This window comes from Homo sapiens, chromosome 7 (genome assembly GCF_000001405.40).
Source record: "Homo sapiens chromosome 7, GRCh38.p14 Primary Assembly".
NCBI lineage: Eukaryota > Metazoa > Chordata > Mammalia > Primates > Hominidae > Homo > Homo sapiens.
This window is the reverse complement of record NC_000007.14, coordinates 148047898-148066420: the sequence shown is the minus strand read 5'-3', so window position 1 is coordinate 148066420 and position 18523 is coordinate 148047898. Positions and strand designations below refer to the sequence as shown.

At 37.5% G+C, this 18523-nt stretch overlaps 1 protein-coding gene across 1 annotated transcript in view, besides 1 other annotated feature; it reads right to left on the bottom strand.

Annotated features, from left to right (window-relative positions):
• Positions 1-18523, bottom strand: part of CNTNAP2 (contactin associated protein 2) — a 2304198-nt gene that overhangs the window by 354578 nt on the left and 1931097 nt on the right. The window lies entirely within an intron of this gene.
• Positions 5577-5626: an enhancer, noted in NCBI's record as "active region_26798". NCBI's record gives its function as "activates an Ori minimal core promoter by ATAC-STARR-seq in GM12878 lymphoblastoid cells {active_cell/tissue: GM12878}" and the evidence as "EXISTENCE:reporter gene assay evidence [ECO:0000049][PMID:35858748]".

Here is an 18523-nt window from a genome sequence, read left to right as displayed (position 1 = left end):
AACTGGTGTTCCCAAGGAAGAAGAGAAATCTAAATGTTTGGAAAACTTACTTGAGAAAATAATTGAGGAAAACTTCCCTGGCCTTGTTAGAGATCTAGACATCCAAATACAAGAAGCTCAAAGAACACCTGGGAAATTCATCACAAAAAGATCATCACCTAGCACATAGTCATTAGGTTATCTAAAGTCAAGACAAAGGAAAGAATCTTACGAGCTGTGAGGCAAAAACATCAGGTAACCTGTAAAGGAAAACCTATCAGATTAACAGCAGATTTCTCGGCAGAAACCCTACAAGCCAGATAGGATTGGGGCCCTATCTTTAGCCTCCTTAAACAAAATAATTAAAAGCCAAGAATTTTGTATCCAGTGAAACTAAGCTTCACAAATGAAAGAAAGATGGTCTTTTACAGACAAACAAATGCTGAGATAATTCACCACTACAAAGCCAGCACTACAAGAATTGCTACAAGGAGCTCTAAATCTTGAAACAAAACCTTGAAATACACCAAAATAGAACCTCCTTAAAGCATAAATCTCACAGGGCATACAATACAATAACACGGTGACAAAAAACAAGGTATTCAGGCAACAACTAGCATGATAAATAGAAGAGTACCTCATGTCTCAATACTAATGTTGAATGTAAATGACTTAAATGCTCCACTTAAAAGACACAGAATTGCAGAATGGATAAGAATTCAACCAAGTATCTGCAGTCTTCAAGAGACTCACCTAACATAAGGACTCACATAAATGTAAGGTAAAGGAGTGGAAAAAGATATTCCATGCAAATGGACACCAAAAGTGAGCAGGAGTAGCTATTCATATATCAGACAAAACAGATGTTAAAGCAACATCAGTTAAAAAAGACGAAGAGGTACATTATGTAATGATAAAAGGACTAGTCCAACAGGAAAATATCACAATATTAAATATATATGCACCTAACACTGGGGATCCCAAATTTGGACAATAATTACTACTAGACCTAAGAAATGAGATAGACAACAACACAACAATATTGGGGGGCTTCAATATTCCACTGACAGCACTGGATATCAAGACAGAAAGTCAACAAAGAAGCAATGGACTTAAACTATATCCTAGAACAAATGGACTTAACAGATATTTACAGAACATTCCACCCAACAACCACAGAATAGACATTCTACTCATCAGCACATGGAACGTTCTCCAAGATAGACCATATGATAGGCCACAAAACAAGTCTCAGTAAGTTTAAGAAAATTGAAATTATATCAAGTACTTTCTCAGACTACAGTGGAATAAAATTGGAAATCAACTTGAAAAGGAATCCTCAAAACCATGCAAATACATGGAAATTAAATAACCTGTTCCTGAATGACCATTTGGTCAACAATGAAATCAAGATGGAAATTAAAAAATTCTTCGAACCGAATGATAATAATGACACAACCTATCAAAACCTCTGGGATACAGCAAAGTTGGTGCTAAGAGGAAAGTTCATAGCATTAAATGCTTACATCAAAAAGTCTGAAAGAGCCCAAACAGACAATGTAAGGTAAAACCTCAAGGAACTAGAGAAACAAGTACAAAGCAAACCCAAACCCAGCAGAAGAAAAGAAATAACAAAGATCGGAGTAAAACTCAATGAAACTGAAACAAAAATACAAAAGATAGTAGTGTTTTGTAGTTTTCCTTGTAGAGATCTTTCACTTCTTTGGTTAGGTATATTCTTGAGTTTTTTTTTTTTTTTTTTTTAACAGCTATTATAAAAGAGGCTGAGTTCTTGATCTGATTCTTAGCTTGCTTGCAGTTGGTGTATAGCAGAACTACTGATTTGTGTATGTTAATTTTGTATCCTGAAACTTTGCTGAATTCATTTATCAGATTTAGGAGGTTTTTTGGATGAGTCTTTAGGGTTTTCTAGGTATACAATCATATCCTTAGTGAACGGCAACAGTTTGACTTCCTCTTTACTGATTTTGATGCCCTTTATTTCTTTCTCTTATCTGATTGCTCTGGCTAGGACTGAAAGAAATCATAGATAGCACAAACAAATGGAAACACATCTCATCCTTGTGGATAGGTAGAATAAATATTGTCAAAATGACCATACTGCCAAAAGCAATCTATAAATTCAATGCAATTCCCATCAAAATACCACCATCATTATTCACAGAACTAGAAAAAAAATCCTAAATTCATACAGAACTAAAAAAGAGCCCACATGGCCAAAGCAAGACTAAGCAAAAATAACAAATCTGGAGGCATTACATTACGTGACTTCAAGCTATACTATAAGGCTACAGTCAACCAAATGGCATGGTACTGGTATAAAAATAGGTATACAGACCAATGGAACAGAATAGAGAACCCAGAAAAAAAGTCAAATACTTACAGCCAACTGATCTTCGACAAAGCAAACAAAAACATAAAGTGGGAAAAGGACACCCTTTTCAACAAATGGTGCTGGGATGATTGGCAAGCAACATGCAAAGGAATGAAACTGAATCCTCATCTCTCACCTTATATAAAAATTAACTCAAGATGGATCGAAGACTGAAATCTAAGACCTGAAATCCTAAAAATTCTAGAGGATAACATCAGAAAAACCCTTCTAGACATTGGCTTAGGCAAAGACTTCATGACCAAGAACCCAAAAGCAAATGCAACAAAAACAAAGATAAATAGATGAGACCTAATTAAACTAAAAAGCTTCTGTACCTCAAAAGAAGTAATCAGCAGAGTAAACAGACAACCCAAAGAGTGGGTTGTCACCCACTACAGAAGTTTTCCATGTAACTAAACACTACCTGTTCCCCAAAAACCTACTGAAATAAAAAAAAAAATTAAAAAAAGAAAAAATATCTGGAAAGGGCTAACAGCAGATTAGACACTACAGAAGAAAAGATTAGATAACTTGAAGACAGTGATAGAAACTATCCAAAATAAAAAACAGAGGAAAAAAAAGCTACTAGAAAAGAAAAAAGAAAAAAGGAAAGAGCACCAATGAGCTGTGGGGCAAAGTCAAGTGGTACAATATGTATAATGGGAATTTCCAAAAGTGGGGGTTGGGAGAGTGATGAAAATATTTGAAGAGATAATGGCTTTAAATTAAAACATGAATGGAAGAAACTACACTGAGGTATATCATAAGGCCATTCTTAAAAGCAGCCAGAGAAAAAGGACACAATTGCCCATAAAGGAGCAAACATATCAATGACAGATTTCTCACAGGAAATAATGCAATCCAGAAGACAGTAGGACCACACCTTTAAAATAAGAAAGAAAAAAATAATGAACTGTCAACCTAGAACTCGATACCCAGTGACAATATCTTTCAATAAAAATAATATTCTGATACATATATACTATAGATGGAATTCATCCATTTTGCCTAAATTTTCAAATGCTTTGGCCAGCTTTGTTCATGGTATTCTCTTATTGTCATTTAAAGTGTCTGCTACCTATAATTATCTCCATTTTCATTTCTTGTATTGATTATTTGTGGTGTTCTCCTTTTTTCTTAACCAATTTTGCTGGAGGATTTTCTGTTTTCAAGAAACTAACTTGTGACTATGTTGATCCTCCCTACTATAACTTCAAGTTTTATTTCATTAAGCTCTGCTCTTACATCATCACATACTTTTACTTTATTTGAATTTAGCTATGAGTTTCTAGCCTTAACTCATTTTTTACTTAAGCATTTAAAGTGTAAAATAACTACAACTATCTTTGTCTTGCATCTCATGAATATTTATTTATAGGATTATTTATTGTCCTTCAGTTCTAAGTATTTTTAAGATACCTTCCCCTAGAAAGTCATAAATGTTTTAAACATTTCATTTATATCTTAGAAGAATGTGTGTTCTTTATTTTGTTTAGACTTTATGTCAATCAAGTTTTTAAATTATATTGGTGGAAACCTCTATTTTTACTTATTGTCGTGTGCCTAAATGATCAGTTCTGAAATTAATATGCCACATTTTCTTCTATGATATTTGAGTTATCAATTTCTCCCTGCACTTCTGTCAATTTTTGCTTTATATATTTTGAGAGTATTTTGCGAATTCAAGTTTAAAATTGCTAAGTTCTTCTGGCAAAATGAATCGCTTGCCATAATTCAGTATCCTTTCTACCTTCTAAAAAGGTTTTTGAAGTCTTTGTTACCTGCTATTATAGTTACCCGGTTTTTCCTTTAATTATTATTTGCATATTATGTCTCTTTTCATTATTTTCCATTCAGGCTTTCTGAGTCCTCTTATTTCAGATGTGTCTTAAAAAAACCACTTAGCTTCTTTTTAAACTAATTTGACAAGATCTTTTAGCTAGTATATTTAGTCCACTGCCATGGACTAAACACACACACACACACACACACACACACACACACACACACACACACACTCTCTCTCTCTCTCTCTATCATCTATCTATCTATCTATCTATCTATCTATCTATCTATCTATCTATCTATCTATATCTGTTTATCTATCTATCTATCTATCTATCTATATCTGTTTATCTATCTATCTATCTATCTATCTATCTATCTATATCTGTTTATCTATCTATCTATATCTATTTATCTAACTATCTAGGTATCTAGACTACACACACACATGCACACATGTAAAAGCAAGAAAGACAGACTTGTTCCTATTGTCTTATATTGTTTAGTCTTTCTGAATAGATGATTTATATTTGTTTTCTTAATCCATTTCCTCCCCCATTCTGGTTTTGAAGTTATATATTATTTAATATTAAGTGGGCACTTTGAAGGCTGGGTGTGGTGGCTCACACCTGTAATCACAGTATTTTGGGAGGGCGAGGCAGGTGGATCACTTGAGATCAGGACTTTGAGATAGGCCTGGCCGACATGGTGAAACCTCGTCTCTACTAAAAATACAAAAAATTAGCCAGGCGTGATGGCGTGCACCTGTAGTCCCAGCTACTTGGGAAACTGAGGCAGGAGACTCACTTGAACCTGGGAGGTGGAGGTTGCACTGAGCCAAGATCATGCCACTGCACTACAGCATGGGTGACAGAATGACAGTCTGTCTCAAAAAATAAATAATAAAAAATTTAAAAAGTGGGCACTTTGGAATTCTATCTTACATACTTAAGAAAGTCTAAAGTTAATCACTCTTTTAAATCCTCTTAAAATACAAGGATCTTAAAAAACTGTAATTTTGATTATTCTCTTTCTAACAGACTTCATTTTTAATTGTTTCATTTACTCCTTTTTAAAACACATTAATTTTGATGTTAATATTTTATTACACAGTTTTAAAAACCTTTAACCTATATCTTCATTAATGTCTTTGATCAATACTTCTTACACCTCAGACATTTCTTCTGGGTTTCTTTTATTTAAAAAAATTAAGTAAATCCTTTAGAGATTGCTTTAATGAAAAACCTTTTGGTCTCAAACTCTCAATTTCTGTTTCTCTTTCTCTCAACACTTTGATCATACCATTCTGTGGTCTTGTCTTTCAACTATTGCTTTTGAGAATTCTATTTTTATTTCACTTGCTGTTACTTTTTCTCTGACTTCCCCTTTGGTGCTCAAGCCTGGTGAAAGACAGAGCTGAGTTAAACCTTTGGTGTCTGGAGAGCAGAGCCTATACTTAACTATTCCATAATACAACCAACAGCGCTGAGGATCTATAACAAAAAGGCATAGTTAGCATACTCTAATTTATAAGCCTTAATTTTCAAGCAATAAATATTGAACACATGGAAGTGAGCTGATTTTACCTTGTCTATTAACTATTAAAATATGCATACAGAATTTAACCAAATAATTGATTTTAAACTTAAAATATTTTTGTAACAAGAGTTACTATGTTGATACATCCAAATGAACCTAAAGGAGAAACAATATGAGTTTGTTGTCTGGAAAATTCTAATAGATAAAGGATTCAAGGTATAACTATTGATCAACAAATATTTATTAGCTACTTGCAAAATGTTCCATTTTATGAGAGCTAATTTAGAATTGCAATTGTCTGTTCTATTAGAATTGATCAAAAGCTTCAGGTCATTTAATATTGCCTAATATATACACATAGTATGTAAATATACATATATATGTATAAAGAAATCACTTAAAAACAATAAGCAAATACTTCAGAAAAATTATTACTACTGAGAAAAAAATATAAACCATTTATTTAAAATCATTTAAAGCAGTTTTAAGGTTCAAAACATTTTTATTTAATAACAAGCTTATTTAGATGACTTTAAAAGTCAATGTGGCTGTATTTACAAAATAAGTAAATTTTCCCAACAGCAAAGCTAGTGGATCAATTAATGGCTTAGTTATAATACTTTGTTGAAATAGTCAAAATGAGTGTTATGGCATTTCTGTGTGGTACAGCTTAGAAGTTCAAAAACTCTGCAAATGATGCTGAAAAGAATATAATGAATGCATGAAAAATGACTATTCCTGGAAATGTAAGGTGGAAGCTGACAATACTCATGTTATTTTATGTAGAACCTTACCTTACTGTAACTGTCAAAGCACTTAAAAACCTTGACCAATTTTTAAATTTTGATATATCTTAATATGCACTCAAGTATTAATTTGCATTAGATATATTCTAACTTAGTGCAGACTTTGTATCAAGTTATATGTATTCCCCTCCTTACTAAATATATATATATAATTTAAATATAAATATATGTATAGTATAAATATGCATATTTTAAAATATAGAAATTTCTTTTGAGAGAAGAATATTTCTGCTGTTTTTTAATAACCTACATGAAGAAAAATACTCAGATTATAAGTATACAGCATGATGAATTTTCTTTCTTTCTTTCTTTTTTTTTTTTTTTTTGAGACAGAGTTTTGCTCTTGCTGCCCAGGCTGGAGTGCAATGGGGCACCGTCTCAGCTCACTGCAACCTCCCTCTCCCGGGTTCAAGCGATTTTCCTGCCTCAGCCAGAGTAGCTGGGATTACAGGCATGCACCACCACACCCGGATAATTTTGTATTTTTAGTAGAGAAGGGGTTTCACCATGTTGGTCAGGCTGGTCTCGAACTCCTGACCTCAGGTGATCCTAGTCTGCTCAGCCTCCAAAAGTGCTGGGATTATAGGTGTGAGCCACCGTGCCAGACCTTTTGTTTTTGTTTTCTTTTTGAGATGGGGTCTCACTCTGTCACCCATGCTGGAGTTCAGTGGCATGATCTCCACTTACTGCAACCTCCACGTCTTGGGTTCAAGTGATTCTCCCACCTCAGCCTCCCAAGCAGCTGGGACTACAGCAGTGTACCACCACGCCCAGCTAATTTTTATTTTTTATTTTTTTGGTAGAGATTGGGTTTCATCACATTGGCCAGGTTGGTCTCGAATTCCTGACCTCAAGTGATCCGCCTACCTTGGCCTCCCAAAATGCTGGGATTACAGGCATGAGCCACCGAGCCCTTGATGGCCCTTGATGAATTTTCATAAAGTGACACACCCATGTAACTCGAATCCACATCAAGAAACAGAACATTATTAGTGGCCCAGACACCCCCTGTGTGCCCCTTTTGTTCACAACCATTTCCCTAAAGGTAACAACTATTTTGTCTTTCTAACACCTGGGCTATTTTTTGAATAACATTTACCCTATTAGGCATACAACGCTAAAAACAAACAAACAAAAAACTATTCTATGGGAATTAAAATTTGGGTGAGGTCATGTACTCCTTCTTCCTATTTTCAATTTATTTGGCTCATATCTGCACCAAAAGCCAAACATCTGCCAGCCCCTCTGCAGCCCCCTAGTCCCCTCAGTCAAGCGACACGCCTTGCAAGGAAATGACCACTCTCGGATATGCAGACCTGGTTGTGCATGCTCCATTTCTGCCTAAAGTTTTCTGTGTGCAGAGGATGGTAGGTGTAAAACTACGGGCCATAAAGAGCCAGGTATTGCCACATGAATTATACTCTGCCTCTGAAATGCCCCAGGTTTGGCTGCCCCAAGCTGCATCCTCATCTCCTACAAGCCACCCAGGACATTCCCAGGCAAAACGAGAAGGGCCCTGGAGGTAGGCTGCACACTGACTTGTTTAACCGTGTGTGGAGGGGATGGTTTCTCCCCACTGGCATAAACAGATGCTGCTGGGATAGGCATGTATTCGCATCTGCCTGTTTGCTCTGCTCTGGGAGAGTCTGAGCTTTGAGAGCTTGCCAATTCTTAATGGAAATCTGCTACTTGTGATGAGGCATGAAAGACTAGCTTCACCTGACCTGCACAATTGAACACCATGCTCTCTCTTCATGTACTAAGTCACGTTATCAACACACTCTAGAGGGTATATATTTGACTTGTTTGTGAATAGCTAGTTTTTGTTTTAAGTACTTCTTAGCAGGATTATACCAATAAACTTGACTCTGTGAAAGGGAAATAAAAACTTGGGACCTCAGTTCACTTTGTCAAAAGCAAATAATAACAATAATAATAATAATAATAATAATAATAATAATAATAAGCTGGAAGCTGAGTCATGCAGGAAGCTGCCTTTCTCTTTGTTCCTAAGCAGATAGCTACAGAAAAAACATTTCTGATAGAGAATTTGAAGCTTAGAGAAGTGAAATAACTTCTCCACCATCACACAGTCAAGGAGTGGCAGCATTATGATTTGAACCCAAGGTTAGTTTAACTCTAAATCCCATGCTTGTCTTCTAGTAATACTTCTGAGACACTGCAGAAATACAATGGTTATCAAGAATGTTTAACCTTCAGTTCCTTCAGTAAGTTTTAACTGAGGGTAGGAGGTACAGTGATGCCCACAGTCTTTCTTCTCTATTATTCACAATTCTAAATAGTTATCTTTGACTTAAAATGCTATTAATATTTATAATCTGCTATCATGTTACATCCACATAGGGCTTTATACTTGAAGATCACCTCACACTCATAAACGCATTCTAACCCAGGTTAAAAGGGGTGTGTATTACTACTCTTATTTTACCCTGAGTTCTTCTCAGGCTGATGAAATCTCGAATTTAGTGAGACCTCATGTTAGGACCTTTCGACACCAGAAATGCTGAAAGTCTGTTTTAAGGCGTTGTCTCTATTCCTTGCTGATGTGTTATCCACACGCAGACTATCCAAGCTATTGAGCGATTGATCCTCATGGAGACCTGGGACACTCAGCAGCTCCCGGCTACTTGTATACCTGGCTACTTGTGCACCCTCCTACCCACCGCTTAGTGAATTCTGCTTCCTCATGACTGGTACTATCTGAGGGTTTACGACGCCTGTGACTCTCTTAACTTCTAAACTATGTTAACAACAACAGTGGCTCTTATGTATGGAAGTGACTGCACCGAGGGCTGTGAATACCACTCAAGCCTCACTGCAATAAGAGGGTGGGCACAGATGAGAAAATGAAGACTCAGAAAAGTTGAGCAACTTTCCTAAAGGCAAGTGATGGAAATAGGATTCAAACCCAGGTCTGTTTGTCTATAAAGTCTGAGCTTTTAATTCCAGTGGATCCAAAGCTTACATGAGGATTGGGCTCTAAAAGTTGTTGCAAAACTGGAAAATTAAGAAAAGCCAAGGGCTGCTCTGGAAAGCTCTTAAATCGCCCTTCAAGTACCTTATCCCATTACTTCTCAAGGACGCCAACACGAACGATCATACTTCAGCACAAAACAGATCAGCATATTTTTGGGTGGGCAACAGACGAAGTAGTTGTTTGTGTTTAGGATATATATTGTACAAAAATATTTGAACCACACTCAGCCTAGCAAAAAAACTTACCCCATCAATGTTGCGGGAGGGACCACAGATCCTGTCTTCATCTCATATTCATTTAGGGGCATATGCTCAGTGAGCATGTTGCAACAAAGACAGATGGAATCAAGTTAGCAGATATGCTATGCTACTCTGGGTTCACTCCTACTTGGGATTTCAGAGAATGTCCTCCTCTTGGGGAGAGCATTCTAATTGCTACTGCATATGTAAAAGGTTTATACTGTTAAAAATGTAATCTTGATACCAGCAAAGCTATGATCTAAGAGACATGCACTTTTAGGGGTCAGAAAGTGATAGAAACATTTCTGCAATATCAGTGAGGTTACAGCTTTGGCTTTTAGACAGAAAACTGACTGCATGGTTTTTGGGTCAATGTTGACTGAAACACATCCCAGAAACCAACCATATCAAGCATGAAAAATCCACAGAACATAAAATGGCTGGAAAATTCCACAGCAAATGGAAGGGCAGAAGAAATTGCCCACAATGTTTAAATTCTCTTCTCTCACTGTCTCCCCAAAGCTCCCTCCCTTCTCAATGAGTATGCTAAAATTTGCGAGGGAACAGAGCCCACTCTTTAGGCTGCTATACAGTCTGCATATCTTTTATTCAAAGTCACTGAGAGAAGGTTGGAGTGAATCCGTTCATCGCTATTCAACACAGAACTTTCTGTTAGGTAGAGTTCTCATGAGAAGCCATGTTAGAGGGTACAGGCCAAGTTGCACATCACGGCCTAAGGAATGAGCCCCGAACCTTGGCTTAATTAGCTGTGGCCAGGTTATCAAGGCTATAAATTGCAAAATCATGGGGACCAAAATATAAGAAACCCACTGCCTCCTTCATTTAAAAGAAGGCGATAGGAATGGTGAGGACAAAGATGTTCACGGACTAGTCTCTACTGCAATGCTTTTCCTTCTTAACTGCAATGCTTTTCCTTCTTAACTGCAATGTGTTAACTTGGCATGCAGCTGAAACAGTCTTTTTGTGGCTCAGAGAACAGCTTTGAGTGGGACAAAACAGGACTACCATTTATCCTTTGTCTTTATAAACATAATAATAGATGTAGCTAATATATATTTAGATCTCACTAGGTTCTGCATTAGGTGCCTAATCTGGAAGAGAAGGGCTATCATTGTCCCATTTTACAGATGAAGAAGCTGAGGGGTAGATTAATAAAACAGCTCTCTGGAGGTCACAGATTTGGTAAATGACAGAACTGGACTGCAATGAAGATTTGGCTTGCTCCATAGCACCATGGGCCACTCTTTTAGATGACACGGGTGCATAGCCTCCTGCCTTAGAAAACAGAAGAATAATTTCCTATAAGCTATTGCTGAGATTTTTACTGAGTCCAACCCAACGCACTTCAAAAGTTAGTGATCAGTTACCATCAGGAGGACTATTTAAATAAATATTAAAATTTCAAACTATTATCTTTTGCAGATAGCCTACAAAGTCTGGTTGTTTTAAAAGGCCATCAAAGATGCCTATTTATAGGCTGGGCATGGTGGCTCACACCTATAATCCCAGCACTTTGGGAGGCCGAGGCAGGCAGATCACCTGAGGTCAGGAGTTTGAGACCAACCTGGCCAACATGGTAAAACCCGTCTCTACTAAAAATACAAAAAAATTAGCCAGGCGTGGTGGTGTCCACTTGTAATCCCAGCTACTTGGGAGGCTGAGGCAGGAGAATCGCTTGAACCAGGGAGGAAGAGGTTGCAGTGAGCAGAGATTGTGGTACTACACTCCAGCCTGGCTGACAGAGTGAGACTCCATCTCAGAAAAAAAAAAAAAAAAAGATTCCTATTAATTTACATACTGGAGAAAGTATGTTTTGCACCTAACCAAGCTTGGAAGGCTTACCTGGACTCTACATGGCTCAAAACCACGCATTACTTGAGAGTTTTACTGATATTGTTTGTTTCTGTGCATGGTTTGTAATGTGTCAGACTTCATTTTAAAAGTTTCCCAGGGGATGATCAGCAAAGAACTATAGATCTTATTGACCATGTGAACACATCCTGGAGTTAGTTTTTTAAAGGAAAAGAGTTGGCCTCTGCACTCTGGCGAAGTTGTAGTTAGGGAGCATAGAGTTCTGAGTGTTTGCTAAAGCTTATGTGCATGTCTTCTATCAGAAACCCAGAATGCCTAGCACTCTAGTTGCCTTTCAGGAATAAAATTCTAAGCTCTTTATTATCCAGCTCTGTAAAAAAAAAAAAAAAAAAAAAAAAAGGCCACTGAGAGAAGTCATAGTGATAGATTCTTTAAGGACTGTATAGTCTAGTCCCATTTTGTGATTAAATCAGATTACTAGATGCATACATATTAGACTCATTCATATTTTACAGACGAGGAAGCTCTGCCTAGAGAAATTGTCCACAATCCCAGAGCTAATAAGAAGTGGAATTAGCCGGGCGCAGTGGCTCACGCCTGTAATCCCAGCACTATGGGAGGCCGAGGCGGGTGGATCACGAGGTCAGGAGATCAAGAACATCCTGGCTAACACGGTGAAACCCTGTCTCTACTAAAAATACAAAAAATTAGCCGGGTGTGGTGGCGGGTACCTGTAGTCCCAGCTACTCTGGAGGCTGAGGCAGGAGAATGGCGTGAACCCGGGAGGCAGAGTTTGCAGTGAGCTGAGACCACACCACTGCACTCCAGCCTGGGCGACAGAGCTAGACTCTGTCTTGAAAAAAAAAAAAAAAAAAGAAGTGGAATTAGAGACTCAACACCCAGTCTTTTTGGCTTGTAGCTCTCAGCCTTTTCCATTATCTCAGCCTGCTGCAACGATACATCACAGAGTAGCAAGAAGAAAACACTCTCAATACCTAAGTATTTTAGCCTTCATTATTTTAAAAGACAATTTACAGTAATTATTATTACTGACAATCCATAAAACTTATTACCTTTCGTTCTATAATCCTAGCATAATCATAATATTATAAATAATTTACCAGCATAATGGTATAAAAAGTAATAATAAAAGCAAAAAATGTCCCAGATTTTCTCTTGTATTTATTGGTTATTTAATCAGCTCCTTCTTCTGCCATCTATCTTTTGCCAAAGCAGGTAAAGTACGGTGAAAATATTTATCGTACTACAAACAAAAATCTAGATAATGAGCGTAAGTTTTCACAAAATTGGCAGGAGTTTTGGCTTTAAATAGGCACAGCCATAGCTGACAATCTGCCAATATTTAAAATTATACAATATTACTGAGAAGAAAATTAAGATTTATAAAACATTAATTTCTAGAATATTAAATATTCAGTTTTACCATTTTGAGATACATACATTTCCTAGATTTAAAAAGGTAAGATAGCAGATTAAAGGAAAACAGTTAAGATCCACATTTTAAAAGTATATGAATAATGTGTATTTTACAATATTTGGAATAATCAGAAAACCATAAAGAAAATGTAAGGTTCCCCTGCACTTACTGACAAGAAAAAAATGTGTTAACATTTTCATTATAATTTTCCCAGGTACATGTAAATACATGTGGAATTGTAAAACTGGGATAATATTCTATCAGTGTTCTATCATAATTTCTTATTAAAATTATACCATTATCATGCTTCCATGTTAATAGTCTTCAAAGACTTTTTTTTAGGTGATGTTTCTTGTTTTTTTGAGACGGAGTCTAGCTCTGTCACCCAGCCTAGAGTGCAGTGGCGTGATTTAGGCTCACTGAAATTTCTGCCTCCTGGTTTCAAGCGATTCTCCTGGCTCAGCCTCCCGAGTAGCTGGGACTACAGGCGTGCGCCACTATGCCCAGCTAATTTTTGTATTTTTACTAGATATGAGGTTTCACCATATTGGCCAGCCTGGTCTCAAACTCCCGACCTCAAGTAATCCGCTCACCTTGGCCTCTCAAAGTGCTGGGTTATAGGCGTGAGCCACTGTGCCTGGCCTAGGAGACTTATTTTTAAGGAATACTGTTATACGGCTAAACTTAAATGTATTTAACCATTTCCTTCCTTTCTGGGTGACAGATATCATTGATTTGCATTTTTCACAATTATATATAACTTTATGACAAATAATCTGTAAAAAAAATCTTGCATGTGGTCTACAATTATTTCTTTGAAATATAATTTTAGAGGTGAAAATCCTTGCTCAAGAACTACATACGTTTTAAAGATTATTGATCTGTCTTGCAAAATTGCTTGTCAAAAATGCCTCACCATTTTCTGCTTATTAAACAAAACCAAAACCAAAATAAAATATTATATTCTTGTTTCAGTTTGTATTTCTTTGATTGGAAACACTTTTTACACCTTTACTGAACAATTCTGGATCTTTTTTTTTTTTTTCCATCACCTGGTTGTTCATCTTTTACTTTTTGTTGCTAGTTTTTAAAAGTTTTTAAAAACATATTATGATTTTTATATCAATGTATTGCAAATATTTTTCCAGTTTCTCAGTTTTTAATTTGTTGATTTTTGTACTTACATGAACTTTTAATTGTTATGTTGCCATATCTACCAAGTTTCCTTTGTATTTATGCTTACAAGGGCTTTTTTTTTTTTTTTTGGAGACGGAGTCTGGCTCTGTCTGTCGCCCAGGCTGGAGTGCAGTGGTGCGATCTCAGCTCACTGCAAGCTCCGCCTCCTGGGTTCACCCCATTCTCCTGCCTCAGCCTCCCGAGCAGCTGGGACTACAGGCACCTGCCACCACGCCCGGCTAATTTTTTGTATTTTTAGTAGAGACAGGGTTTCACCGTGTTAGCCAGGATGGTCTCCATCTCCTGACCTCGTGATCCACCCGCCTCGGCCTCCCAAACTGCTGGGATTACAGGCGTGAGCCACTGTGCCCAGCCACAAGGGCTTTTTAAAATTTAGAGAACAGAAAAATACTGAATTGCTTTTAGTATCACTTTTCTATGCATTCTTCCTCTTTGCACATTGAAGTCTGTAATTCTTTGGAATTCATTTTAGCATCTAACGTAAAATAGAAACTATTTTTTAAAGTATAGTCACATAATTTTCTTAGCAAAATTTGTCTTCATCCCTGTTTATTTATTTGTTTGTTTATTTCAGAGTTTTACACTGCAGGATCCCCGTTCATTTAAATTGCCAGTTTCAGTATGCACTACTTCTTATGTAAACAGTATTCTGACATTCTAATCAGTTCCAGTGATCCTTCTGCCTATTCTTGCATTTGTGACATACTCTTTTAATTACGATGGCTTTGTATTTATCTTTAACATCAGTTGGTGCAGTTTCTGTTTTCATTTCAATAGCAATCTTAAAAAAAAAAACAGAAAAGAAAAGAGAAAGAAAACATATTGCATAACTTCCGGATGGCCACTTAACAACCAACTCCCGCCAGGACATAAATGCTCTCATTTCTGTTTGTAATTGCTGCCAAATGCTACTGCTTTAATTTTGGTTACCTATTGAGAAAAGAACATAGGCCAACTTAATACAAAAATGATATTTGGCCCAAGTGAAAGCAAATTACATAAAAGTATGCTCTGTGGGTGGAGATTTGATAGTAGTTTGATTAGAAAAAAGTAGTAGCAAAATTGAATTATCACAAACTTATAGTGTATAGGCAAAATGAACTCAAAACAAGCTACACTGAAAAAATTCTCATTGAAAGTGGAAATTTAGTTTACTAATACAGTCATGCATTGCTGAGCCTGAACGATGGAGATGTATTCTGAGGAGTGTGTCTCTAGGCAATTTTGTTGTCATGCAAACATCACAGAATGCACTTCACAAACTGCCACTGTATAGCCTACTACATACCTAGGCTATATGCTATGGCCCGTTGCTCCCAGGCTACAAATCTGTACAGCATGTTATTGTACTAAATACTGTAGACAGTTGTAACACAATGGTATTTGTGTATCTAAATATATCTAAACATAGAAAAAGTACAGTAAAAATACAGAGTAAAAGATAAAAAGAATGGCACACCTGTATAGGGCACTTATCATGAATGGAGCTTGCAGGACTGGAAGTTGCTGTGGGTGAGTCAGTGAGTGAGTGGAGAGTGAACGTGAAGGCCTAGAACATTACTGTACACTAATGTTGACTTAAAAAATACTGTATACTTAGGCTTCACTAAATTTGTAAAAAAATACTTTTCTTTAATACACATTAGTTTACTGTAACTTTTTTTACTTTCTAAACTTTTAATTTCTTTTAACTTTTTTACTCTTTTGTGATAACACAGCTTAAAACACAAGCACATTGTACAGCCATACAAAAATATTTTTTCTTTATATCCTATTCTATCAGCCTTTTCTTCTACTTTGAATTTTTTCATTTTTGTACTTTAAATATTTGTTGTAAAAACTAAGACACAAACACACACATTAGCCTAGGCCTAACAGGGTCAGGAATATCAATATCACTGTCTTCCACCTCCACACCTTGTCCTACTGCGAGGTCTTCAGGGGCAGTGACACACACAGAGCTGCCAGCTCCTATGGTAACAATGCCTTCTTCTGGAATCCCTCCTGAAGGACCTGCTGAGGTTGTTTCACACTTAATGTTTCGGTTTGTTTGAGATAGAGTCTTGTTCTGTCACCCAGGCTGGAGTGCAGTGGCGCGATCTTGGCTTACTGCAAACTGCCTCCCGGGCTCAAGTGATTCTTCTGCCTCAGCCTTCCGAGTAGCTGGGATCATAGGGTGAACCACTATGCCTGGCTAATTTTTGTATTTTTCATGGAGATGAGGCTTCTGCATGTTAACCAGGCTGGTCTCAACCTCCTGACCTCAGGTGATCCACCTGCCTCGGCCTCCCAAAGTGCTGGGATTACAGGCATGAGCCACTGTACCCTGCCTGTTTCACAGCAAATTTTTTAAAATAAGTAGAAGGAATACACTTGAATGATAAAATGTATAATATAATATAGCAAATACATAAACCAGTAACATAGTCAAATATTATCATTATCAAGTATTACTGTACATAATTGTATAAGCTACACTTCTATATGCCTGGCAGTGCAGTAGGTTTGTTTACACCAGTGTCATCACAAACATAGGAGTAATGTGTTGTGATAGGACCTTAACAACAGCTGTGATGTTACTAGGCATAGGAAATGTTCAGCTCCTCTATAATCTTATGGAACTGCTGTTATCTGTGCGGTCCACTGTCGACTAAACGACATTGTGTGGTGTGAACTATACAGCCTATCTCGTTACATTCACTTTACTAGTTTTAATTTTGTTGGTTTTATAATTTTTCTTATATCCAAATTTGTATATCATAAAACATTAAAAAATCTTAGAAATATATTAGCAGGAGTGTATATCTAGAATTCTTTCTATACATATATAATTGACATTATAATGTTAATTAGGTCAACAGTGAGAGTTTATAATAACTGTTCCCTTCAAAGATGTCCATAAATGACTCAAGTTTGAAAGTTCAAAAGGTGAAAAATGTAATAAGTTAGCTTCGTAGTTTCACTACTGACTTAGCCACTTATTTTTTCTATTTTTTGAGACGGAGTTTTGCTCTTGTCGCCCAGGCTGCAGTGCAATGGCATGATCTTAGCTCTCTGCAACCTCTGCCTCTTGGGTTCAAGTGATTCTTCTGCCTCAGGATCCCGAGTAGCTGGGATTACAGGCACCTACCACTACACCTGGCTAATTTTTTTTGTATTTTTAGTAGAGATGGGGTTTCACCATGTTGGCCAGTCTGGTCTCAAACTCCAGACCTCAGGTGATCCACCAGCCTCGGCCTCCCAAAGTGCTGGGATTACAGGCACGAGCCACCACGCCCGGCCTAGCCACATTTTTATAGCTATTACCTTACTGATATGTTAGACTTGTTCTCTCAAGAGTATATAAGGGAGATTTTATTTCTCAGGTCCTGGCCACTTAACCAGCCCTACTCTGAGACTCACATCAAGGGGAGCCCATGAAAGCCAGGCTTGAGCAAAAACACCAGCTCCAGCCATTGGCCAAGGTTTGCTTCTGGTTTTTTAGCTCACACAGGGCTCACTGTTCTTGACTCCCAGGCTACCTGGATCTAGCTTCCTCCTGTTTGCCCATTTTAGGTGATCTTCTCGAATTCCCCTCTATCTCTTAGCTCAATTTGCACATTCTTTGATCCAAGAGGACCCAGAGTTCTCAGTAAGAGACACTCCCCTGACATGCCCCAGCTCCATGGATTCCCTACTGGCTAGGCTGACACTGACCCTCACCCAGCCTCCCTGCCATTGGACTGGATTCTGTGAAGAAATGTCAAAGAAGCACACATGTCCTTCCCTTAGATGGTTCATTAAAGGGAAGGGAGAGGGGGAAAGGAGGTGGTGATTGGGGTGGGGAAGTTTTTCATTTTTAAATTGAACATTTATAAAAGATAATTGTTATGAAACATAAGCCCCCAGAAGTTGAGTGATACAGCTCCATGCAGCTACATGACAGTGATGTGGTTCTCGAGTTGATCACATCCCAGGTCAATGTGTTACTAAAAGTAAGGCACCCAGTGGCTGGGTGTGGTGGCTCACGCCTGTAATCCCAGCACTTTGGGAGGCCGAGGCGGGCGGATCACGAGGTCAGGAGATTGAGACCATCCTGGCTCACAGGGTGAAACCCCGTCTCTACTAAAAAAAAAAAAAAATTAGCTGGGCATGGTGGCAGGCACCTGTAGTCCCAGCTACTGGGGAGGCTGAGGCAGGAGAATGGCGTGAACCTGGGAGGTGGAGCTTGCAGTGAGCTGAGATGGTGCCACTGCACTCCAGACTGGGCGACAAAGCGAGACTCTGTCTCAAAACAAAAAAAAAAGTAAGGCACCCAGCTCATAGCAGGTGCTC